The sequence below is a fragment of the Homo sapiens genome, chromosome 16 (genome assembly GCF_000001405.40).
Source record: "Homo sapiens chromosome 16, GRCh38.p14 Primary Assembly".
Taxonomy (NCBI): domain Eukaryota; kingdom Metazoa; phylum Chordata; class Mammalia; order Primates; family Hominidae; genus Homo; species Homo sapiens.
In genome coordinates this window covers 20899042-20925006 of record NC_000016.10, presented here as the reverse complement: position 1 = coordinate 20925006, position 25965 = coordinate 20899042, and the positions used below count along the sequence as shown (strand labels likewise).

The window sequence follows — 25965 nt, the reverse complement described above, 5'->3', positions numbered from 1 at the left end:
TTGATAGTGCTTTGTCTTTATTTCTGATGCCCATCTTCTTCAGAGGTTAAGAAGAAATGACACTGATGTACAAATGACTCACCAAGGGACTCTCACCTGACTCTACCCTTGCAGGGGTGGAATAAATCCCTTCTATTTTCAAGTCTATTTGTCCCATTTCTGTTTAGACATAATTTGAAAGCCAGCTTGGACCTTGTACTTTTCAATTATGTTAACGTAAAATACTCGTAACGAATGTAGTATGAGTTTAAAGTGAGCTTTTCAGATCCTATAAGTGCATCCTAAGTAATGACAGGCTTTAAGATAAGGAATATATGCATTTTGTTAAGGCAGAAATCTCATAAAATTTCATGAAAAACCATGGTCAATCCAATGATGCACTTTTTAAGACAAGTTTGTCTGGAAACTGGAAGGGTCAAAAGACAACAAAAAAGCACACACCAAAAAACCTCACTTTAAGCAAATCTATAACTTGAAAAAAAAAAAGCCTAAGAATATTCTGAGAGTGGTACATAGTTTTATAGTAGCCACAGTAACTTCCAGTGACTGGCAAATTTCTTTGCATCAGCTGGCATGTGTGGTGAATGGAATTCCCATGAACAGCTCTTACATCCTTCCGCTTTCCTTCTACAGGCCTCGGTCTTGTTTCCAAAGGTGACTGCAGTGAGGATGTAAGGTCCATGACCTCTAGGGATAATGCCATCCACTCAGGAAGAAAGATGCTGAGAAACTCTAGGGATATCTAAGTTTACATCACAGGGGGAGAATCAATTGTGGAGGTTTTAAGAAGACATTTGAATTTTTGCCCCTAATCAAGAAGTGTTTTGCCATCTGGTTTACATTCAATAACTAGTTGGCTCATCATTTGCAGAAATAAACTTTCCTCTAGATTAGGAAACTTCATCATGAGATCTGAGATATACTGGTTTGGAAAGTTTCCTCAGTTTCTCTTGGCTTCGAAGTCCCCGGCCTCGGAGTGGGGTAAGGCCCATTGGAGGCAGATGAATCTGAATAAGAACAATAATATGAAGAATCATATTCATCATCATTGCAGCAGCTCATATTCACTGAGGATCTACTCAGAAAGTACCATATTCTCTGCTAAGTGCTGTATCTACATTGATTCATTAATCTTTACACAAGTTAATCCTACAACAACCTCATAAGGGATTATTATTCTAATATTTACAGATGAGGAAATGAAACCTCAGAGAAGTTAAAAAACTTGCTTAAGGTTATACATTAAGAAGGGAAGCCAGGATTTGAACCCAGATCTGTCAGATTCCAGAGCCTGTGCTCTTTGCTATATCGCCTGCATAGAGGAGAAAAAACGAGCATGGATCACATAGCAAGTTGAGAATCCAAAGAAGGGGAGAAAAGTGTGTGTATATAAAGATGTTCTGTGCATAGTAGAAAACTGGGATCAAACTAACTGCCTAGCAAGAGAGGGGCTGGTTAAATTATGGCTGGGATGGTTAATTTTTCTTTCTTTCTTTTTTTTTTTTTTTGAGACACAGTTTCACTCTGTCACCCAGGCTGGAGTGCAGTGGCATGATCTCAGTTCACTGCAACCTCGGCCTCCCAGGTTCAAGTGATTCTCTGTCTCAGCCTCCCGAGTAGCTGGGATTATAGGTGCTCGCCACCACGCCCGGCTAATTTTTGTATTTTTAATAGATATGGGGTTTTGCCATGTTAGCCAGGCTGGTCTCGAATTCCTGACCTCAAGTGATCCACCTGCCTTGGCCTCCCATAGTGCTGGGATTACAGGCATGAGCCACCGTGCCTGGCCTAGGATGCTTAATTTTTGTGTCAATCTGATTGGCAATGGGTGCCCAGATTAAACATCATTTCTAGGTGTATCTGTGAGGGTGTTTCTGGATGAGATTAGCATTTGAATCAGTGGACTTAGTAAAGCACATGGCCCTCCCCAGTGTGAATGGGCATCATCCAATCCATGGAGGGCCTGAATAGAACAAACAGGCAGAAGAAGGGGAAGCGGCTCCTTTTGCTTCCTGCCTGTTTGAGCTGGGACACCTCATCTTCTCTGGGCCTCAGACTGGGGATTTCTACCATTGGCCCCTTGGGTTCTCAGGCCTGTGGACTCAAACTGAGTAATACCACCAGCTTTCTTCTGGGTCTCCAGCTTGCAGACGGCAAATCCTAGGACTTCTCAGCCTCTATAATCACATGCACCAATTCCTTATAATAAATCTCCTTTCAGCCGGGCACAGTGGCTCACGCCTGTAATCCCAGCACTTTGGGAAGCTGAGGTGGGCGGATCACCAAGTCAGGAGTTTGAGACCAGCCTGGCCAACATAGTGAAACCCTATATCTACTAAAAGTACAAAAAATTAGCTGGCATGGTGGCGGGGGCCTGTAATCCCAGCTACTTGGGAGGGTGAGGCAGGAGAATCGCTTGAACCCAGGAGGTGGAGGTTGCAGTGAGCCGAGATCGTGCCACTGCACTCCAGCCCGGGTGACAGTGCGAGACTCCGTCTAAAAAAAAAGAACCAAAAAAACTCCTTTCAGGCGTATCTAGATGTATCTCTGTCTAGATAAATAGAGAGCCAATTCCTCATAATAAATCTCTTCACATATACATCTAGCTGTCCCTAGATGTACATATCTTCATTCTACTGGTTCTGTTTCTTTGAAGAACCCTAACACAATGGCACATTCTTACAATAGCATACAATGCAATCATTTAAAAAAGATTGGGCTGGGCGTGGTGGCTCATACCTATAATCCCAGCACTTTAGGAGGCCAAGGCAGGCGGATCACTTGAGGCCAGGAGTTCGAGACCAGCCTGGCCAACATGGTGAAACCCTGTTACTACTAAAAATACAAAAATTAGGTGGGTGTGGTGGTGTACCTGTAATCTGTAATCCCAGCTACTCAGGAGGCTGAGGCAGGTGAATCCCTTGAACCCAGGAGGCTGCAGTGAGCCAAGATTGCGTCACTGCACTCCAGACTGGGTGACAGAGTGAGGCTCTGTCTCAAAAAAAAAAAAAGATTGAGGGAGAGCTACATACAAAGATGTGCAGAAGACATGAAGTAAAATAAGTACGCAGTATAACATTATATCCAGAATCCTACATATGTAAAGAAAATGTAGGTACATGAATACAGAAAAAAAGACTAAAAGGGTATACTACCAAACTAATTAGGTTGAGCCACTACAATATAAAATTGCTGTTTTTGTAGCTAAAAGAGTTGAATATTGGCAATTTTCCATTTAACAGTTAAAGTGTTCACCCTCTGCACAATGAGAAATTTTTTTTTTTTTTTTTTTTTTTTAAGAAATTTGGGCTGGGCGCAGTGGCTTACGCCTGTCATCCTAGCACTTTTGGAGGCCACGGTGGGCAGATTGCCTAAGCTCAGGAGTTCAAGACCAGCCTGGGCAACATGGTGAAACCCTGTTTCTATTAAAATACAAAAAATTAGCTGGGTGTGGTGGTGCACGACTGTAGTTCCACCTATTCGAGAGGTTGAGGAATGAGAATCACTTGAACTGGGAAGGCAGAGGTTGTAGTGAGCAGAAATCATGCTGCACTCCAGCCTGGGCGACAGAGTAAGACTCTGTCTCCAAAAAAACGAACAAACAAAAAAGATTTCTGGCCAGGCACGGTGGCTCATGCCTGTTATCCCAGAGCTTTGGGAGGCTGAGGTGGGAGGATTGCTTGAGCCCAGGAGTTCAAGACCAGCCTGGGCAACACAGTGAGACCTCCATCTCTACAAAAAATTAAAACATTAGCTGGGCGTGGTGGCACATGCTTGTAGTCCCAGCTACTTGGGGAAGTGAGGTGGGAGAATCACTTTAGCCTGGGAGGTCAAGGCTGCAGTGGGCCATGACTGTACCACTGTACCTAGCTTGGGTGATGAAGCGAAGACTCAGTCTCCACAAATAAATAAATAAATAAAACTTCTTTTAAATTAAATTATTGTTTTAAATTTATGGTATGAAAGAATTTAAGAAAACATAAATTTATATACATTTATTATTTTAAATTCATATAAATTTGAAATTTATTTTGTTTCTTAACTTTCTGAATGTATTAAGTTTATATAATTTTTTTATTTTAAATTTATATATATAAATTTAAGTTTTATTTATTTTTTGAGACAGGGTCTCACTCTGTCACCCAGGCTGGAGCGCAGTGGTGTGATCATGGGTCACTGCTGCCTCAACCTCCTGGGCTGAAGCAATTCTCCCACCTCAGTTCCCCAAGTAGCTGGGAATACAGGAGTGTGTCACTATGCCTGGCTAATTTTTAAATTTTGTATAGCAATGGGGTCTCACTGTGTTGCCCAGGCTGGTCTCAAACTCCTAACCTCAAGTGATCCTCCTGCCTTGGCCTCCCAAAGTGCTAGGATTATAGGCATGAGCCGCAGTGCCTAGCCTGGATGAGAATTTTTGACCATTTTTACTTTCTACTTTATGCATTCCTTTCATGTTTGAACTTTATTCTTTTAGTAACAACAAACCTGCCTTTTATAATTAAACACATTTCCATAAAAAAGATGAAAGTGAAAAGAGAAAAAGCTCTACAGTGTGAGCTGGTTTTCCCTTCCATACGTGGAAAGCTATGTAAGCAGGATACGTCATGCATTCATTGACATTTTACTTTGTTGTGATGGGCTGGCAGCATGCAATGATAGCTTATTTCCAACATGCCTCCCACAGCAGCTCTGGGCTTCTCAGCAAGCACTCGCCCTCTTGTTACACATTCTTGGAAATAACCAGGTTGATGAGGGTAAGTACCCAGCACTTGTTAACCGGAGTCACACTTACTGGCCTTGGGTAAGGAATCTTGTAATGCAGTCCAATTTCAATCCTGGCTGTGCATTCATCTATACACTGTTTAATTAGGTCTGTGTCCGTGAGCTATTAAAAGGGAGAAAGAAATGAGGCTGATAGTATCTTTCTAATGGTACATAGAGTATAGGTATACATTTTCTCAAACTTTTTTAGTTCACTAGCCAGTAAATGAAATGTTACTAATTTGGAAAATCAAAAGCAATTTAATATTAAAGCTTACCATAAACTTTTAAAATCGTTAAAGTAGGTAAAAATAATTCAAATAATACAAAAGGATGTAACATAAGAACTACGTTTCCCTCTTACTCCTCTATTCCAGTTCCTCATCTCGGAGACAACAATTAGCAGTTTCTTGTGTGTTCTTGCAGGGGTATTCTATGTATATGTGAAAATGCACATGTATGTAGAAGCTGATTATTTTTCTCACACAAACAATAGCTCCCTTTGTTCTGAACCTTGCTTTTTCATGAACATAACTTGAGGTTCCTTCTATATTCTATCTATAGAGCTGCTCCCTTCTTTTTAACAGCTATATAAAATTCCAACAGAAGGCTTTATTATAATTTCACCAATCTCCTACCCATGGATAATTAAGTTATTTCCAATTTTTTGCTATTATAAATGATTCCGCTATGGATCTCTCTAAAATTACTTTGCTTACATGCATATGTATCTAAAAGATGAATTCCTAGAGAGAGAGGACTGCTAGGACAAAGGCATAGATTCATGCATTTTTAATTCTCACAGATATTCCCAGATTACTCTCTAGAGTTCACACCAATTTACATTCCTACCAACAATCTATAAATTATATTCTCACCGACACTGACTGAGAGTGCTTCTTCACACCCCCCTCATGTTGATTAAACTTTAAAGTAACCCCATGGTTTCTGCAAGTGCTGTCCTGAAACCCCCAGAGTAGGACACTGGAGAATGATCTACACCTCTTAAACTGTCAACTGCCTTGGCTCATTAGTAAGGGGAACAAAGGGCTTTTGAAATTCCAAAATAGTCAAATCATGGTAATCCACTCTCAATTAAAGGAATAAAAAGTTCATTCTGAAAAACAGCCAAGTAGGAAAAAGGGAGAAACTCTTTCATTATGAGGTAGGAAAATGAATCAAGACGTGGCTCTGCTAGGAGTTTGCAAGTGGACTTCAAAGCTGAGCTAGGATTGCATCAGCACCAGATGACACCCACGCAGCAAAGTCTGGGTCCATGTGGCTTGGAAATTTCAAGGGCGTTCCTGTCCTATGGTACCTCTTGGAGCAGAGAAGAGTTCCAGGAACAGCAATGCAGAGAACCACAGCTGTGAGTCCCTTGTGGCAGAGGCCCAACTTTCTGACCTCTGTGCTTCTCAGAAGCCACTGATTTGCTGTCTGTGTTGGAAAAGAGTTCCATGTTCCCATTTGCCCACTGAGATTCAGAGCAGTTCATGGGATACCTTTGGATTATTAAACTCTTAAGAGTAATCAAAGTTACAAGAAACTCATTATGTCTGCATGAGGGACTAGGAAGAAAGAAAAAGCCCTTGACAAAGATATGGTTAAGGGGGTTGGGGCTTCTGGGGCTTCAGCTGTCTATCTGAACAAGCTTGGGCTACAGTACTCCAAATTCAGTCATTCACGGGCTGGCTGCATGATTCTGCCATATCCACATACTACTTATACTAATGTTAAAATTTTTCATTAAATGGACTCTCTTAAGCAATAGCATTTGTGAAACTGTGGTCTAATATTCTCTGTCCTTTATAACACATGCTAAAGCAAGTACGTATCTTAAAATTAAGAACCCATGTACCTCTTCCGCCCACTCCCAAATAATCTCATGTACCATCAGTGGCACATACACCTCCCTCTGGCTCACTCCTCGAGCCAATCCAAGCCGAGGCAAAGGAAGGGTTATTGCGATAACTGAAAACCGAAACTCTTGAGTAGTCTTCAGGTGAGTGAGCTTGCAAAGGTTTATTGGGCATGTACTATGATATCCCCAATACCGCAGGCTGGACAGTGCCTTCAACTATCAAAGTTATTACTTGGGCAGAACAACTCTGATACCTGAAGCTACAGAAAAGGCACAGTGGTATATAATCAATGGATGCAGTGACTGCTACAGACAGCTATAGGAATTCAGAACAGGCGGCCAGCATGGGGTTGAGGGGGAAGCAGAGAAACTGAGGAAGATTTCCTGGAGGAGGTCAGTTAAATCAAAGTATTTATAGCTGCTCATTCATTTAGTGACAACCACAAGGAGGTCCCTTGGGATATACTAGATAAGTATAAGAACGTGTCTATATGTTCAAGGAACTGATGATCTGGTTGGGAAAACCATGCCAACATAAATAAAATAAAGAAGAAAAAAGGAGAATATAAACAACTATTTAGGGATCTCCAAGCCTTTTGATCATCTACTCTTTTTTTGGTTTTTTTGGTGACAGAGTCTTCCTCTGTTGCCCAGGCTGGGGTGCAGTGGCATGATCTTGGCTCACTGTAACCTCTGCCTCCTGGGTTCAAGAAATTCTCGTGCCTCAGCCTCCTGAGTAGCTGGAACTACAGGTGTGCACCACCACACCCAGCTAATTTTTGTATTTTTAGTAGACAGGGTTTCACCATGTTGGCCAGGCTCATCTTAAACTTCTGACCTCAAGTGATCCACCAGCCTCAGCCTCCCAAAGTGTAAGGATTATAGGCGTGAGCCACCACACCTGGCCAATCACCTACTCTTTTCATTGAAATATTTCTGAGCCCACAGCCCCATATATGTATTTATATTAATTTATAAATGTATTAATTTATAAATTATATATATGTACTAACAAGTTCATTGTAACTGTGTACCAGACAGACTTTTTAGAAAGATGAAAGGATAAATAGAAATAGCAGTTGTATTTTATTTCCATTCCTTAGAGGATTGTTTAAGGACCTCATGGGGTACATATACTCTGGTTTGGCAAGCATGGTCTATGCTAAGAGCAGAAAAAGTTTGGGGAACCTGGGTTTGGAGGAAGGTCAGCAGGGTAGAGAGAAACTTCATAAGTCAGCCTTGAAAAGCTAGAGGCATCAGGGATTCAGAGAAGGGGAAGTTGCTGCAGATTAGGAGGGCTTCTGTAGTAACGCTTTTTTTTTTTTTTTTTTAAGAGACAGGGACTCGCTATGTTGCCCAGGTTTGTCTCGAACTCCTGGGCTCAACTGACCCTCCAGCCTTGGCCTCCCAAAGTGGTAGGATTACAGGCGTGAGCCACCATGTCCAGCCTTTGTAGCACTTTTCCCAACTGTAATTTTATATTTCTTTCCATCTAACTCAAATGCCTTTGACAGATGTGTCTTGGTTTGGCTTATGTTTGTCTTCGACATCTAGTCTTGTGTTTGGCACATAGTGGGCAATCAAATATTTGTTGAGTGAGGAATGAGAACAAAGAGTTGCAGAGTGGTGACAGGAGCTGTGACACCAATGGGCCAGTGGGGAAGGGGAGGCACTCCTGTAGAAAGATGACCCTGCTTTGGACCATTGAGCCGTGGTGAGGTCCTTCAGGTGGCCAGGCAGAGGCCAAAGCTGGGGATTCAGATGTGACAGCTTAAATCACAAGGTGGCTGCATGTTGCACAGGCCTCAGCACAGAGGGCTGACCTTCAGAGGACCCCTGCAGCTGGCGGGAGGGTGTGTGATGACACGGCTGAAGAGAGACAGTCAGAGGTCAGAGAGGGAAAAGTGGTGAGAGTAGACTGTTAGGAAGTTTCATGAGGGGAGCAGTGACCGCGCTGAATCCATTAGATCAGTGAGGAGACGGAAGAGAAGTCGGGTGTGAAAGCCTTTTTCCATGCTTAGTGCCGGGAGGTCTTCCCCGGAGCTAACAGCTAACGCTTTAGGGTTTGTAGGGGGGTGGTCCAATCTGGCTCCCTGCTGTGTGTGCAGTTCCCTTAAACCAGCTAATGGAGACACTATTTTACCCAGTTCTGTGGTCCCAAAGGGCAATCTCACTCTGCTAGCCAAAGAGGCTTGAGTTCAAAGCTGTTATGAAGGAAACCCTGTGTCTTAATCCTATTCTCTTCCTTCTAAATGGGTTTATATTTAGAGGCTTTGAATAGTTTATGAATTGAAAAAAAAAACAACAACAACAACAAAAAACCACTTTCCTGCACACCTCCTATGGGAGTGGCCAGCAACTGGTACAGTATGAGGACTGGCTCCTCCTCTGAAAACTCATTGGCCTGCTCATGTCACCTGGCTCATAGGGTCTTCTGAGGACACTGAGCCACTTACTGGCTGGCTTGAGACCTGGAACAAGTGAAGAGAGAAACACAGGCTTCCCAGTGGTCAGGCAAGCTAGCCAAGCTGTGCACTGGCCCCTTCCTGCCCCAAGTTCTGCCACCATGACTGTGCGGCTCAGCCCTCTTGATTAAAGACCGAAAAGAAATAAACAAATATCATAAGGAACAACTCTCCTCTGCACAATCTCCAAGTGGGGCCTACTTACATTTTTGTTTTTCCGGAACAGCGTTCTGGCTTCATTTAGTATGTACTGTTTTTCTTTGATGGTGTCTTCCATCTGCCCTGATGTCGCCTGCCATTTCCTCGCAAGCCTGAAAATGCTGCGGTAGAGGCCAAGGACTTCTTGTCGTGTTGCCGTTGTCATCTTCAGACCCACCAAAATAGAAGAGGGAAAATTTGCATAAAAATGCAACTTGACAGGAGGCACCAGGCAGATGTACAGTTTTTTTTTTTTTTTTTTGAGACGGAGTCTTGCTCTGTCGCCCAGGCTGTAGTGCAGTGGTGCAATCTCGGCTCACTGGAAGCTCCGCCTCCCGGGTTCACGCCATTCTCCTGCCTCAGCCGCCCGAGTAGCTGGGACTACAGGCGCCCGCCACCACGCCTGGCTAATTTTTTGTATTTTTAGTAGAGACAGGGTTTCACCGTGGTCTCGATCTCCTGACCTCGTGATCTGCCCGCCTCGGCCTCCCAAAGTGCTGGGATTACAAGCGTGAGCCACCGTGCCCAGCTGATGTACAGTTTTTTAATTAAGACCTTTAATTAGTCTAGAAATAATTGCTCTTTCTCAACAAATCTGTTGGGTAGCATTGCTGAAACCATCTAATAGAAACACCGTATCTCTCAACTGGCTTTGTAATTCATCCCGAGGTTGAGGGTTGCTTAACCACATCGTTTGCCATGGTGGCCACATTTATGAACACGGCAAAACCAAAGCTCACACTTATTATTCTTTAAGCCAGTCCAGTAAAATTATATTACTCACCTGAATGCCTAGGTGAAGGCATATTTTTGATAACTGAATTTTCTAGTTAAGGGAGAAATGGAATTTAATCCACTGGTTACAAACTCAAGTGCCTCTGCGGCCTGGCAGGTAATATAAATGAGAGGACTTGCTTGGATGGGGACAGTGGCCACCTGGACAGGAAATGCCCCCTTGAAAGGGAACAGTTGCCATTCAGCTCCAGCCAGCAGCTGCCATGTAGAAAGAAGTGCCTAGGAATGCCAGATTTCCTGATAGCTTAAAAATAGGTGGCAATCCAGATTTTAAAAATATGACATCTCAAAAAAACACACTAAGTCATTATTTTTGAAAATGTGAGGCCAGGCGTGGTGGCTCACGCCTGTAATCCTAGCACTCTGGGAGGCTGAGGCAAGTGGATTGCTTGACCTCGGGAGTTCAAGACTAGCCTGGGCAACATGGTGAAACCTTGTCTCTACTAAAATACAAAAAAAAAAAAAAAAAAATTAGCCAGGTGTGGCGGCATGTGCCTGTAGTCCCAGCTACTTGGGAGGCTGAGTCAGGAGAATTGCTTGAACCCCAGAGGCAGAGGTTGCAGTGAGCCAAGATTGCACCATTGCACTCCAGCCTGGGCAACAGAGTGAAACTCCGTCTCCAAAAAGAAAAAAAAAAAAAAAAAAAAAAGTGACGACTGTACAGGCCAAACAAAATGAGTCTGTAGGCTCAGTTCCACCCAGAGGTTGTCAGGTTGCAACCTCTCTTTTAGTCTGTCACAACCTTTTTGGAAATATTTCTCAAAATCGTTGGTCTACTTTCTTGTCCAATAAGTATAATTAAAAATCTTTCTGATGACTGGCCGGGTGCAGTGGCTCATGCCTGTTATCCCAGCACTTTGGGAGGCTGAGGTGGGTGGATCACGAGGTCAGGAGATTGAGACCATCCTGGCTAACACGGTGAAACCCCGTCTCTACTAAAAATACAAAAAATTAGCTGGGCGTTGTGGTGAGTGCCTATCGTCCCAGCTACTCAGAAGGCTGAGGCAGGAGAATGGTATGAACCCGGGAGGCGGAGCTTGCAGTAAGCTGAGATCCGGCCACTGCACTCCAGCCTGGGTGACAGAGCGAGACTCTGTCTCAAAAAAAAGAAAAAAAAAAAATCTTTCTGATGACTGAAGATCTCAAGGCCCCTCTGGGTTTTTAGTCTCAAACATCAGTTTTAATTTCAGAAGATGTGGCCAAGAGAGAACGGACGTAGGTATATTCTGTAAAGCTAATTGTATTTTTCAAAAGCATAATTCCCAGTATCTTTAAATTCTTATTACAAAATATTTCAGATACAAAAAGATATAGAGGCCAGGTACAGTGGCTCATGCCTGTAATCCCAGCAGTTTGGGAGGCCGAGGCAGGTGGATCACTTGAGGTAAGGAGTTCAAGACCAGCCTGGGCAACATGGTGAAACCCAGTCTCTACTAAAAATACAAAAATTAGCCAGGTGTGGTGGCAACCACCTGTAATCCCAGCTATTTGGAGGCTGAGGCACGAGAATCACCTGAACCCAGGAGGTGAAGGTTGCAGTGTGCCAAGATCACGCCACTGTATTCCAGCCTGGGCAACAGTGACTCTGTCTCCAAAAAAAAAAAAAAAACAAAGAAAAGATACTGAGACCAATATAATAGCCATACAGTTACAACAGACCTTAAAGAATAAATTATGTATCCAGTAGAAACCCCCACTGTACCCCTTCCAAATAACATTTCCCTTCCTCTCCTAGAAGGAATCACTATGCTGAATTTATTGTTTATTGTGCATATCTTTACACATAACATTTATAGTATTGCTTTGCAAGTTTTATTTATTTATTTAATTATTATTATTATTATTATTATTATTATTTTTGAGACAGAGTTTCGCTTTTGTTGCCCAGGCTGGAGTGCAATGGCGCAATCTCGGCTCACTGCAACCTCCGCCTCCCAGGTTCAAGTGATTATCCTGACTCAGCCTCCCAATTAGCTGGGATTACAGGTGCGCACCATCACGCCTGGCTAATTTCGTATTTTTAGTAGAGATGGGGTTTCACCATGTTGGTCAGGCTGGTCTCGAGCTCCTGACCTCAGATGATCCACCTGCCTCAGCCTCCCAAAGTGCTGGGATTACAGGCATGAGCCACCGCACCCCGCCTGCTTTGCAAGTTTAAAAAGTTTATAGGTAAGTTCTGCAATTTGCTTTATTTGCCCATAACATTCATAAGATTCATCCATGTTGTTACACATGGCTCTGGTTCATATATTCTCAGTGCTGCAATTCAGCCTGCTGTATGAAGATATCCCAATGTACTATCTATTTTGCTGATGGATATTAGGTGTTTCCTTTTTAAAAAAAATTATTTAAGGCCGGCTGGGCGCGGTGGCTCATGCCTGTAATCCCAGCACTTTGGGAAGCCAAGACAGGCAGATGACAAAGTCAGGAGATCAAGACCATCCTGGCTAACAAGGTGAAACCCCGTCTCTACTAAAAATACACAAAAAAAAATTAGCCGGGCATGGTGGTGGGCGCCTGTCCCAGCTAATCGGGAGGCTGAGGCAGGAGAATGGCGTGAACCCGGGAGGCGGAGCTGGCAGTGAGCCGAGATTGCGCCACTGCACTCTAGCCTGGGTGACAGAGTGAGACTCCATCTCAAAAAAAACAAAAAAAACCCAAAAATACCAACAAAAATTTATTTAAGGCCACGTGCAGTGGCTCATGCCTGTAATCCCAGCACTTTGGGAGGCTGGGACAGGCAGGTCACTTAAGCTCTGGAGTTTGAGACCCACCTCGGTAACATGTTTTTAACAAAACATTCATTTTGTAAAAAAATACAAAAATTGGACAGGGCTGATGGCATGTGCCTGTAGTCCTAGCTACTTGGGAGGCTGAGGTGGGAGGATCGTATGAGCCCGGGAGGCTAAAGTAAGCTGAGATTGCACTACAAGCCAAGACTGAGCCCCTGCACTCCAGCCTGGGTGACAGAGTGAGACCCCATCTCAAAAACAAACAAGCAAACCCCAACAACTTATTTAAAAACTTCAGGCTGGCTCCAGTGGCTCATTCCTATAATCCCAGTACTTTGGGAGGCTGAGATGGAAGGATCATTTGAGGCCAGGAGTTCAGGACCAGCCTGGGCAATATAAAGAGACCCTATCTCTATAAAAATGAAAAAACAAAGTATTTCAGCCCCCCCTCTCCTTTTTTCATAACTATTTACATTTCTATATCTAAAATAAATTCAGGGAAGCTAGAAAAAAAAAAGTCCCACTACTGGAAGATTCTGATTAGTCAGAATTAGAACAATGAATATTGTACAGCCTTGAACCAGAAGACAGGGTGGGAAGACAAGGAGGGCAGATTTGGTGAGTAAGTAGCAAGGCCAGGCAGCTGGACACCTCATTCTGAGTTCTGGGTTTTCCTCTAACAGGCTCATCAGGATCGGGAAGTAAGCTGCTCACTGCTTGCTTTTGGGAACATGATCCATTTTCAACTTATGGAGGGAAAGGCATAAGAGGTGGAGATAATATGCTTTAGGGTAGTCCTGAAATTATGAGAATTTGAGCAGCTAAAGAATGCAGATTGGAGCTGGAAGTGGGCACGTTTACCTCAAAATTCTAAGTACTTGCAAGGAATTCAACTTACAGAGAATTTCTCTTTCCAATATGAGCACTTACTCTGACCCTGATGACGTTTCTTGAGGTTTATTCTTGAGTAAAGAATGAGCCAACTGATGAAAAGCTTCAAATACTACTTCACCTAATTCAAAGGTTAAAAGGACCAAAGTTATATTCAATACCAATTCTGAGTCTATGAGGCTGCACAGAAAAAAATGCTTACAAGGAATTCATAAAAACCAAGAGAGAACATCATGCTTTGTGGCTTATTGTAATAAAAACCCAGATGAGATGATGACATTTTTCCTGGTAAGGAAACAGGTTTCTGAGTTTCTGGCTCTCCCTAAAACTCCATGGTTTCATATGAAAATACATGAGTCAGTTCCTGTGAGGTACAGGGAGTCTGTAACTAACATCTCTTAATGATTGCTTCACTTCCCTGTCATTAACAGACGGAACTTCCTTGACTGCAAGACACTTGAGAAAAGTGACCAAGGTCAGGCATATTCAATCAGCAGCAAGGTTTTTTGTTGTTGTTGTTTTTTTTTTTAGAGGCAGGGTCTCGCTCTGTCACCCAGGCTGGAGTACAGTGGCATGATCATGGCTCACTGCAGCTTTGACCTCCCAGGCTCGAGTGAGCCTCCTGCCTCAGCCTCCAGAGTAGCTGGGACCTCAGGCGTGCGCCACAACAACTGGCTAAAGCAACCTTCTCTAAAAATCTAACTTTAATTAGTTTCCTTCTATGACTCTAAGAATCACTGTTTCAAACTCTAACTGATCATATACCATAATCTGATACACAAGCCCTGCAATTAGGTTAATACCCTCAAGGTAATGAGCAGTGCTAACAATTGGTACTTAATAGGACTATTTTCAAAACACTTTAATTAACGTTTAAGTGTTTTGAAAACTAATCCTGAAAGGGATTTATGTGATGTCTCACTCTGCAACATCAGGTGACCCAGAAAACCCAAGTTTCAAAGATTTCCTGAGAGAAGGGTCTAAAGCTGTATTCACCATTGTGTCCTATTAAATCTAGCCTACCATTTCCTTCCAAGTCTTGAGAGAAAAGGCAAGAAAAGAAAAATGTTTCTTTTGTTCTTTTCTTACTGGGTTTGTTTCAGGTCTTTGAGGGAACCATGTTCTTTCTTGCCTTAGGGGCACATATCCATGCAGTTTTCTCTTTCTAGAAGGCTTTCCCCTGAACCCCTCCCTTTTACCTGACCAACCCTATCCATCCTGCCGTTCCCAGTGAAAATATGGATGTCTCAGAAAATCTTCCTGCTTCCCTCACACCCATTGGGTTGGGGCTCTCTGTTGAACCTTCTCACAGGTCCTAATATTCTTGTTTGTATAGCACTCCTCACTTAAGTAATGGTTTGTTAAAGTCTTCCCCCAGTAAACTCTCATTTTTATGGGGGACAATGATCACATTCATCTTCTTTACTGCTGAATTCTCAGCACCTAGAAAGGTATATAATCAGTATTCAATAAATGTTTGCTGAATAATTGAGAGTATCCTGTGCTATAGAAAGTTTGTGATTCTAGAAACAGAATCAGCCATATATTTTTTAAAAAGTTTAAAAAGCTCTTTTCCTTTTTATATTTTTGTCTTTGTTCCTAGAAAGCAACTTATTTAGAAAAATCAGCTTTTCCCGAATATGGATTTAATGGCTTGAAACCAACATTTATTGCTCTAAAACTATCAATTATCTCTCACAATTAATGCAAGACTAAGGAAGCCCTTTTCCTTCTTCACTACATCAGGGGTTGATCTGATACAATGGGGTCTGCTGGGATTTTCTTACCAGCAATACATCAGGAATATTCAGTAGTTTAGAGGACCACAATTCAACTGCGGTCTCAGCTGGTCACGAAGTCTATCCATGTAGATTTTTAAAAGTTAACCTTCTATAATCTTTATTCTGAGACCGACATTTCTTCCAATTCTTTACTCCTTTTCATCTCCCTAACCCCCAAATCCCAGAATGAAGAAAGACAGAAGATATGAGGTGTGCCTGGAAAGAAATGGGACTAGAAGCTGGTCTCTTTTCTTAAAAATCACGCCCTGTTATAACACAGGGATATACATGTGTGGAGGTGAGGATCATTTCCAAGCCTCTGTGATGTGCAGGCCTGTGCCACTAAGAAAAGGCTGACAGATGTTGCTGCCAGTGTGTTGTGGCCTCTGGTCATAGTTAAGAGATGTGTCCCCTAATGCCAAGTGTCCCAAAGATTGGTTGGGGAGGTGATCTTAGATATACAATACAAACTGTATATTAGAAAAGCCCATCAAACCCATAATTTTGAGTGATTTAGATTTTATGTGATATACAGCTTCCTTTAAAGAAATGAATTAGAAAACTTTTTAAGCTAGTTTAAAATATAGGTAAACAGCAAAAACTGTGATGTGGACTCTGAAGTTTGGGAGCTACTGCTCTAAGGTGCCTTGCCATGTCATACTTCTGTCTGTCTTGGCTGAGTCTTCCTCTGCCTACAATGTCTCCTTTCTGCTAGCCACCCCACACCATCAAACAGACACCTACTTGCTATTAAGCTTTTCCAAAGCAACCTTTTCCTTGCTTCTATCATGGCCAGCAGATAGTTCTGCATTTCTTTCACTCTGTTTTTTCTTCTCTGAGTCTGAATTCCTGAAGGGCAGGGATTGTATCTTGTTCATTACAGTAAGAAAAATATTAAAAGTTACATTTGCTTTGCATTTACTGTGTGCCAGATAATTTGCTAGGTACTCTATATATGCAGATACTACCATTATCCCCATTTTACAAAGGAGGAACCTGATGCAGAGACTAAGTAACTTGTCCAAGGTCACACAGCTAACAATAGGCAGGGCTAGGATTCAAACTCAGCTGGTCTGAAGTCAGAGCCCATGCTTTTAATCACGAAATACACTGTTCAATCTCAATAAATGTTGAATGTCTGTTGATTGCTTTAAAGAGCTTAGCTAGTTGTGACAAAGGGAACTAAATAATTCTAGTCCCTTTCTATACAAAGAGCAAAGGAAGCAATTTTTTTGCACATTGATGTGAATTCCAATAGCCTTCCCCATTTGCCACCTGCCCCTGCTCCTAACCTGCAACCGCCCTTTTTAATTATGTTACACACCAGCATGCTCTAAGCAGGCTGGGCACATGGCTGCACCGCTTTGCTCTTCCATTCCCCGTGGCAACCCTGTCCCCTCTGACTCCAATGGAGCCAACATAAAAGCCACCAGTGCAGGGGCTCACTACAGTGCTACTACCTGGTAGGCCTTACTCTTCCCTTCCAAGGATCCATCCATCCATCCACTCACTCAACATTTATTGAAGGTCCACCATGTGCCAGACACCTGCCGTTTCTGGGGATACAGTGATAAATAAGCAGCCATGGTCCCTACCCTCCTTGAGCTTATATTCTAGTGGCATAGGCAGATGATGTACAAGAACAAGAATTTCAGACAGTCATATGTGCTCTGAAGAGTAATAAGATACAAATGACCAGAGGTGGGGGTTATTTTCTGGGTGGTCAGTGACATTTGAGCTGAGTCCTGAATGGTGTGATGGAACCTAATAACGGACCCAGGTAAGGGGAAGCTGGTGCAAGTAGAGGGAACAACAGGAGCAAAGGATGTGACGTGGGAATCGACTTCAAAGATGAACATGAGGCAGGGCATGGTGGCTCATGCCTGTAATCCCAGCACTTTGGGAGGCTGAGGTGGGAGGATTGCTTGAACCCAAGAGTTTGAGACCAGCCTGGGCAACACGGGGAGATCCCATCTCCATTGAAAAATAAAAACATTAGCCAGGCATGGTGGCTCATGCCTATAAGCCCAACACTTTCAGAGGCTGAGGTGGGAGGATCCCTTGAGCCCAGGTGATAAAGGCTGCAGTGAGCTATGATCACGCCACTGCACTCAAGCCTGGGCAACAGAGTCAGACTCTATCTCAAAAAATGAAAATAAAAAAGATGAACATGAATGCAACAAGAGCCTTTGGGAAAGGGGCCACAGGTCCACAGAATCCAGCACAGGTTGGGGGTAGGCCTTGGAAAGGCACTTTGTTTCTGGTCTTAAGCGCAAAAGACACTGGTAGATTTTATGCAAGCTGGAGTAACACGGTCTGATTTATATCTTTTTAAATACACTGTATATCAAACTACTGTATATCATAACTACTTATAATTCCAACACTTGTACAGATGGTGAAACAAGATCTTGCCTAATGCCCCTAATTAGTTGACAGGAGTCAGGGTCAAGAGCCAAAAAAGCTGGATGATCATTTTCCTGACTGACCACAAGCTTTTCTATTTTGGAGTCAGTAATGGGGACTCATAATGGGCAGCGATCAGTCTAAAAAACAAAAACAAAAACCAAACACCAAACACCCACCCACTCTGCCACTCACTGTCCAAAGTGCAGTGAGAGGGTCTGGGGAGGTTCCAAGAACTTACTGTACAAGGCATACCCAGACACTTGGTGTTTCTACAGGAGGACTATGGAAAGATCTGCTGGTATGAGGGGCCTCATCCACTGTGCCCTTTTACCCCACCTCTGGAACAGTTCCTCTGCCTTTGGAAAGACCATTGCAGCATGAACACTTAGGAATTTAAGAGCAGAGATGAAAATTCCCTTTCCCCAGCTGAGATTTATAGAAGTATGACTCTGGTCTCAGGAATGTCCAAATTCCAAATGCTGGACTCTCATGAGGCTTTGCCTTCTAAAGAAAATGTGTTGCAGTACAAATAAGAAATGGGACAAAGGCAAGAGGAATTTACCCTGATTTTCAAGCCCCAGGAAGTTAAACACCCCTTTCCATTTATTTCAGGAAAGACCTACCCCTAGGTGGAATTTTTTCCCTCATCAGAACTCATGACCGTAGTATAGTCAAATTTCTCTCCCAAGTACTTTATGATTTTTTAGCAAGGAGGGGGAATCATAAACTCCACCCAAATGAGATCATGGTCTTCTGTATGTGCAATGTCCCTCTTTTTGCCATAGGAAGCCTCTCTACTTCATACAACTGAAATACCCTTTCTTTGCCTATTTGCTGCTTCCACCTTTTGACTTCCATCACTTCTGGACGGGTGCCCTTTTCACACTGGGGCTGGGTCAGTGTCCCGGCTATGTGCACTCCTGGCACCTCTGGCATACCCCTGTCATAATGTTCATCCTACTCTATCATAATTTTGCATGACTTACCTTTCTTTTTCCACCATGTGTGTGTTGCAGGGAGTAGGAGGTGGGGAGAGCAGGGGGAGATTTGGGACTGTCTTGTACATTACATGCCTAGGCTGGCACATAGTTGGAACATGACAAATATGTATTAGAAGAATAAATTTACACACACAGAATGGTCATTGATAACGTATGTTCTCATCCTGAGATACACACGATGGTATCTGGACAAGCTTCCCAACTGATGATCCCAGAGCATTGAAGGGTTAAATACTAATTAACCCTTACTAGGATGCTTTCAAGAGCAGTGTGTGTCAGGATAAAGAACTGGAGACTCAGTGTTACTTGGGGAGGAATCCTCATCAGTTTCATCCAGAACAGCGTAAGAGACACAGCTATGATGTAACCCTCACTCTTAAGTTTTCTTAAGGCTGGTTAGGGTTTGTCCACTGGACTGAAATACCTTATAATATTTCCATGAAGTTTAGAACCAAACATAGAAGAATGGGGTTCTGATACTTTTTTCCTGAAAAAATCCTTTTGGGGAATAAGGTCCACTATACTCAATGATCATGGGTTAAAATCAATCTAGAAAACTGTGACTTAAAACTATCATTTGGAAAACCTCTACAGAATTGAAATGCTCTTGCTAATGTCAGAGCAACCAGATGTTCTTGCCCTGTATAGCAGAGTAGGGAATGTCTGTCCCATTTGTAAGGAATAGCAGATATAATACAAAATAAATGAACATTTATTTTGGGCTCTGGGCGGACAAGGCTGGGTTTGAATCTTGACTTTACCCCATTGGGCAAATTATTAACTGCCTGAGACTTGGTTTCTTAGAATGTACAATGGGGTAATAGCAGAACCCCTTTCAGAGTCGTAAGGATTATTCATGAAATAATCCATGTAACATCACTTAGCACTGAGAGTTAACAAAGGCAAATGTTACCTGAATAGGAGGAAACAGAGGAAGAACAACGAGGTCTCTTTTATCTATGCTAAGCTTTGTCTGAATAGGAGAGAAATGTGTGGCCTGTTGGTGAATTTATTGCTTTGTGGTAGTAATGGATTTTCCTAAAGCTGTTTCCCTCTGATCATTAATAATCCCTGTACAGCAAAGGACTATTGTTCTTTGGTATGAGTAAATAACCCTGTTGGAAGCACCGCTTATCTTCAGACCACAGCGCATACTTCTTACTGGAAATATAATGCAGGTGCCAACACCAAAGGCATGACCAGGCTTCCCTTCCTATTTTTCTTCCTTTATCTCTTACTCCTTGTTTATCCCTCAGGGCACTTTTCTCTTAGATCTGTTATACTCCCTCCTTTTTGGTGTACACCCATATTCTTACCCCAATCCAATAACCTTTAAGTGAAATTGTTCTCCATACATTTCTGGTCCCATATCCTCCTATCAATTAAACACACACACACACACACACACACACACACACACAACCACAGACTTATTTCCTGTTTCAGATTCAGTTTTTGGTTACTAGAATCCAAAAAGGGAAGTGTAATGCCTCACATGCCACACACTGTTTTGCAAATTTCAGGATATGCTTGTGTGGTATACTTAATCATACCGCAGCTATTTTATGAAACAGCATCTTTTTACACAGAAAATGATAAGAATATGGTCTGTCAGCAATAGGGGGCAGGGAGGAGAGGGTGGATGGCATTTTTATTTTACCTAAGGGAAAATAATTTAGTTTAGGCCCTGTAATATGGGAAGTTTTTAGAACACGGGGCCAAAACAAAAAATGTCTGAAAGACTTCTAAAATGTCTATCCCAAACAAGATCACAGGAGGCAAGCACACCCATTCTAAATATATCATACCAGCACCGGAGCGCACACAAGATTATATTTGTACAGGGGAACTCCAATCAGGCTACTGTAACCAAGATAACAACCAATAGATATACAGCTATTTTTCCCATCAGGGATAGAAGTTCTAAATGAAAAGTTATGGGCCCCTCAATTCAAAAGAAATGGAAGTATGTTTCCTTATTAGCATATTTTAACAGGCAAAGAAAAGGTACGGGTCAGTCAGAGGTGGTGAAAAAGCAGTCACCAGTTACTAGTAGTAGAAGGCAGTGGAAGAGATGTGGTGGGGGGGCTGGAATTGAAGGCCAATGCTAAAGATCATTCATTCATTCATTCATTCATTCATTCATAACTCCCCAGCCAGGATCTTTCACCCTTCATATCAAATCGAAAAGTCTGAGAACACAAGACACTGACTTAAGTTCTTGCTTTGTTATAGTTTTCTGAGGAACTGGATTAGGAAACTGACCAAAGAGCTTTGCATGCCACACTAGATACAGTTGGGGCTTTCTAGCACCTGACCCTTGATCCAACTCTCTGATAAATAACCACATTCTGTGCAGGGGTCCAGGCCTTCAGGACAGCTTCCTCCACCATCAAATAACTACTGAATGCGCAACTTTCCCATCTGCAGAGGCACCAGAGCTCCTCAGTAGGCTAAGTCCCTTGAGTTTCACATGCGGAGAATGACTAGCCTACATAGTACCCTCGAGTTCCTCCAGTCCAATGCTGACCAAGATAACTTTCTGTGAAGGAAAGGTTCTATCTGCTCTGTCCAATAGGACACACACCTGTCACAGGTAGCTACTGGCACTTGAAACATACTGTGTTGGAGGAACTGAATTTTTATTTAAATAGTCACATGTGGTCAGTGGCTACACAGGGATAGCACAGCCCTAGACCAAGAATTGCAAATCAAATGCCCACAGGGGTCAGCCAGGTAGCAGGAGAGGAGAGGCCTTTTTGGCAAACCCTGAGCATGAGCCACATAGACGGGAGACAGCTCTTCAGCTCTGGCTGACAGTTGCTGTGTAGGAACCTCTAGGAACTTCAGGCTGGTGTTGTCAGATTGTCGGATTTTTCAAATGAAGCCCAAAGTCTGGATTTTGATGTCCAATTTTTAAATGTTGGCAAGTAAATTTAAAAAAGAATTTAAATCACTGTGTGGGCTGAACAATATGTTTGCAGGCAATATCTGTCTTGTCAGTATGCAACTTCAAATCTAGGCCAACCCTTCAGCTCAGAGAGAAGAGCTTTATCCATGGCCACTCTGCTGGTCAGTGGCAGATCCAGGATTGAAACCCAGGCCTTCTTATTCATCTTCTGATACCCTTTACACTATATTGTGGAACTGATCGTAATTGTGGTGGGCTTGGCAGCAGTGGCAGGGACAAAAGCCCCTTTTTGTGAGAAGCTGTTGGATTGTATGGCTGATACCTTATGAACACAGTGTTCCTGCCCAGCTACAACCACCATATGGACAAGGCTCTGTACCAGGAGCCAGGAAGACACAAATAAGAAACAGTACCTGGGGGAGACAGCCATATAAACAGACAATTTATCCAAAAAGTCAGGTTTTCTATAACGGACACAAATTACCTGAGCACAAGTCCAAAAGCACTGACAGCTGGGAGAGGGAGGGAGGGAAGAGATTTGAGCCAGGACTTAGCTTCTACTTGCTGCGGGTAGAAGCTGGCAAGCGGGTGGATGAGATTCACTGATTACGGGGATGGGTCCCATTATTCCAGGATATTAAGGGGCCTCTTCCTTTGATCTCTGAGGTCTTGTCTGTGTCGTCTCCTTTGCTGGCTTCTCCTTCTCTGGGTACTCTCTAAATGGTAAGAACCCAAGGGATTTAGGGGTCTTCCTCTTTTATTTACACGCTCTTCTTAGGTGATCTGGGAGCTCCTCCCTGCCTTCCTTATTTATTATCTCCAACTATGATTTTTCCCCGACTTGTATATCTAACTTCTTGACAACTTCATTTGACTTGTTAATAGACTTATCAAACTTAATATGTTCAAAAGAGAACTTTCGATATTCCTTTCTAAACTGTTTTCCCGTAGGGAGTTAACCTTGGTTCCTCCCTCTCCTACACACTTCACATCCAATTCCCCAGCAAGTCCTGCAAGCACTACCTCCCAAATATATGCTGAATGGAATTCTCTCCATTTCCACTGTGACTGAGGGCCTTTTCTTTTTTCTTAAGACGGAGTCTCACTCCGTTGCCCAGGCTGGAGTGAAGTGGCGCGATCTTGGCTCACTGCAACCTCCACCTCCCGGGTTCAAGCGATTCTCCTGAGTAGCAGAGATTACAGGCGCGTGCCACTACGCCCAGCTGATTTTTGTATTTTTAGTAGAGATGGGGTTTCACCATGTTGGCCAGGATGATCTCGATCTCCTGACCTCGTGATCCGCCCGCCTAGGCCTCCCAAAGTACTGGGTTTATAGGCGTGAGCCACCGCGCCCGGCCGGCCCTTTCAACACTATCTTCACCTCTCCTTTGTCTTACAGTGCAACAGTCTCCTAACAGGTCTAACTACTTCCACCCTTCTCTATCCAGCAGGCAGAGCGGATTTTTAAAAATGTAAATCAGGTCAGGTCACTTCCCTTCTTAAAACCCTTAAGGTACACATTAGCCAAACCCCTGCCTTGGGCTAAAAGGCGCTGCTACAGTCATGCCACTTCCCCAACTACATCACAGGGCACTCCGGCCCTGGCTCTGTTTGCTTCAGCCACATGGCCTTCTGGCTGTTTCCAACCTAAAAGTCCTTCTCATTGGCTCTTCTCTCCACCCAGAAAACCCATTGTCTCGGATCCCCGCAAAACCGTGGCCTCCTTTGAACGACCTTACCCGATTTCGAGGGGCCCTCCCCCCATCTTCTGTCACCTCATCCGGTCTTTGGGGGGCATTTCTCACTTGCTGATACCTTCTTTATTGATTTACTTAACTCTCTCCTGCACACGAATGGAAGGTAACGGAGCAACACCCTACTCTCAGGTTTGAAGAGCAAGAGAATTACGAAGCTGGCTCTCACGGTCCTAGGGAGTCTCCGTTCCTGTACGGGACCTGGTGTGGGTCAACGTTCCCCAGCCAGACACCTCTCGCCCCCGGACCGGCCCCTACCATCTCCCATTTACATTCGGGGGTCCAAAAGATTCACAGCCTCCGAGGGGGCCCCACGCCGGCACCTGAGCGTCCCCACACCAGGCCTCCCCTCTTGGACGCGCGAGCCACTTCCGTGAGGCAGGTCCCCGAGGCCGGTGGCGATGACACCGAGCCGCCCCCGCGAAGCTGGGGTCACACAGGCCCGTCTCCCGGCAACGCCGCAGCCCAACCTCCAAACCATCCCTGCCCGTGGGGAGCCAACCCCTTCCCCGCCAGTCTCCCGCGCCTGGAGTCGGCGCCTCCATCCCCTACACTCACTCTGCGTCAGTCCTGCCTTCCCCCACCCACAGAAGCGCGCAGCCCGCGGCGGGCTGGGAGGAGGCGGCGCCAGGAGCCCAGCAGAGCCGTGGCCGACCGAGCACAGGCTGGTCCAGTAGGCCAGGCCGGACCAAACCACCGGGCCCACCTCTGTGGGAGCACCAGTTCCAGGTCTGGGGGAGTCTCGACTGACTGACTCTACCCATCTCCCGCCGCATCCAACAATAAGCTGAGCTCCTCCTCCCCCTATTTTTCCTTTACGCTTTCATTATCCTCCCCGCTCCATTCCCGTAAAACAAGAAAAAAAAATGGTCCAGCCCAGCTCCCTCCGGGTTGCTAGGTCTTTGCCCTTACTTGGCGACGGCTTCGTACGTCTTTATGTGCGTCGTGACGCAATCTTCCACTCGTTCCCTCCTTGCCCCTCTCCCATTCTCCCTCCTGGAGCTGGCGGCCGGCGGGGTTACCGGAAGTGATGATGCAGGAGGCGATGGAGGGGGCGGGGCTTCGGGGCGGCCGCCGCCGGTGGGCCGCAGATGAAGAGGAGGCGGTGGCAGTGGTGGAAGAAGAGGCGGCGGCGGCGGGGGTAGGGAGCCTGGAAACGCGAGCGGGGATGGTAGGTGGTTTGGACCCGCCGGGCCGCCGTCGTTTCCAGAAAGGGTTTGACTGGAGGAACCTCTGGAGCAGCTGTGAGTTTTGGGGAGGGGGGGAGTTGAGGAAAAGGCGGGGGGGCATTGAGAGATGAAGGGGCGGGGGTTGGGTACCTTCGAGAAAGGGGGGTGGAAAGGGAGGAGTGGAAGTCAGCGCGTTGTCTGGAGTGGTACCTCTGAAAGAAGAGGCTGTGAGGGGAGCCTGTGGCGTGTCAGCCGCAGGGCTCAGAAAACTTACCTACTGTCCCTGCCTCCCCACCGCCAGCACCCCTCAACCCAGGGCCTGGGGATATGGGGTTGGAGCTGCCCTGGAGGGGGTGCAGACTCTGGTCCTCTGTCCTGGGTGAGCGCTGTGAGGTAGGAGCCCTAGGGGGAGGTGGTGGGTGAATCTCCCAGCTCCCTCCGCCCTCATTTCCCTCCCCACCCCCATCGTTCTCTTTAATCATTAACAGCCCTGGAATTAAGGGGCTCAGACCTGAAGGCCTTTTTGTGCACCTTTGCTATAAACGATAACCATCTGTGTCCGAGGTAATGAGGCTGGAGGCTTTGCCTGTATCCTCTATAGGAAGTGGGACGGGGTGACAAATGTATTGTTTGTTCCTCCACCACACCCCCCGCACTTCTCACCCCTCATCCTCCCCCATGCACACCCCTGGTTTCCACTTTAATTCTCTGTGGCTGAGTGGCAATAGTGGATTTTTTTTTCTTCCCCTTTCCTCCTTTATGGCACTTAGTGCCTTGGTTACCTCTTTTGAATTTGGTGTTCAGCCTCTATCCCAGATCTTAACTGTAAGCTTTGTAATACTTCATACAGGCTGTCACGTTGGGAGTACCTCTTACGCTCCGATTATAATGAGCATTTTCTTTTATGAATACTGGAATTCCAGAGCCTTTGCAAGGAATCCTGAATGGCATCATAGCCCAGGAATCAAGGTCTCTTGCTCGAAATACTTTATGTGTGAGGAATTTACATGTTGTCAGCTCTTCCCAAAATGATTTGCTAGGCTAATTCTGGATTTCTGTGTTTCTCTCCACCCACTTTTCATGATGCACTTCAGAGAACAGAAAACCCCATATTACTTTTTTGTTTCTACAATTGGACAATAGCTCTTTTATGTTTTTCTCCATTTATGTGTGACACACAAATCATCAGTGACACGTTCAGCTTGTGCTGATTTTCATCTTTACGTAGCTGATTCTT

The 25965-nt window shown here is 44.4% G+C and overlaps 2 protein-coding genes across 47 annotated transcripts in view, besides 3 other annotated features; one reads left to right on the top strand and one right to left on the bottom strand.

Annotated features, from left to right (window-relative positions):
- LYRM1 (LYR motif containing 1) lies at positions 1-25125 on the bottom strand. Of its 46 annotated transcripts, none has more exons than XM_047434379.1 (8): positions 24266-24469; positions 22290-22521; positions 15491-16353; positions 13743-13824; positions 9293-9451; positions 9079-9093; positions 4793-4885; positions 1-1007 (listed from the first exon to the last, which is right to left on the bottom strand). In XM_047434379.1, the coding sequence occupies exons 5-8, from the start codon at positions 9449-9451 to the stop codon at positions 891-893; spliced, it is 384 nt and encodes a 127-aa protein (XP_047290335.1). In that variant the 5' UTR covers positions 13743-13824; positions 15491-16353; positions 22290-22521; positions 24266-24469; the 3' UTR covers positions 1-890. The 46 variants fall into 46 exon arrangements, 34 of the variants coding, with proteins under 34 accessions (XP_047290335.1, XP_047290331.1, XP_047290332.1 ...); XM_047434375.1 differs by lacking the exon at positions 24266-24469 and adding an exon at positions 23581-23965; XM_047434376.1 differs by lacking the exon at positions 24266-24469 and adding an exon at positions 23643-23965.
- Positions 23259-24044: an enhancer, noted in NCBI's record as "NANOG-H3K27ac-H3K4me1 hESC enhancer chr16:20912285-20913070 (GRCh37/hg19 assembly coordinates)". NCBI's record gives its function as "activates a minimal SCP1, AML or CMV promoter by ChIP-STARR-seq in naive H9 embryonic stem cells {active_cell/tissue: H9 hESC(naive)}" and the evidence as "EXISTENCE:reporter gene assay evidence [ECO:0000049][PMID:30033119]".
- Positions 24045-24830: an enhancer, noted in NCBI's record as "NANOG-H3K27ac-H3K4me1 hESC enhancer chr16:20911499-20912284 (GRCh37/hg19 assembly coordinates)". NCBI's record gives its function as "activates a minimal SCP1, AML or CMV promoter by ChIP-STARR-seq in primed H9 embryonic stem cells {active_cell/tissue: H9 hESC(primed)}" and the evidence as "EXISTENCE:reporter gene assay evidence [ECO:0000049][PMID:30033119]".
- The window catches only part of DCUN1D3 (defective in cullin neddylation 1 domain containing 3), a 45434-nt gene continuing 44117 nt past the window's right edge, over positions 24649-25965 (top strand). The window contains exon 1 of the mRNA NM_173475.4: positions 24649-24803. The gene's annotated coding sequence lies outside the window, so the exon portion shown is untranslated. The remainder of the gene's footprint in view (positions 24804-25965) is intronic.
- Positions 25040-25089: an enhancer, noted in NCBI's record as "active region_10546". NCBI's record gives its function as "activates an Ori minimal core promoter by ATAC-STARR-seq in GM12878 lymphoblastoid cells {active_cell/tissue: GM12878}" and the evidence as "EXISTENCE:reporter gene assay evidence [ECO:0000049][PMID:35858748]".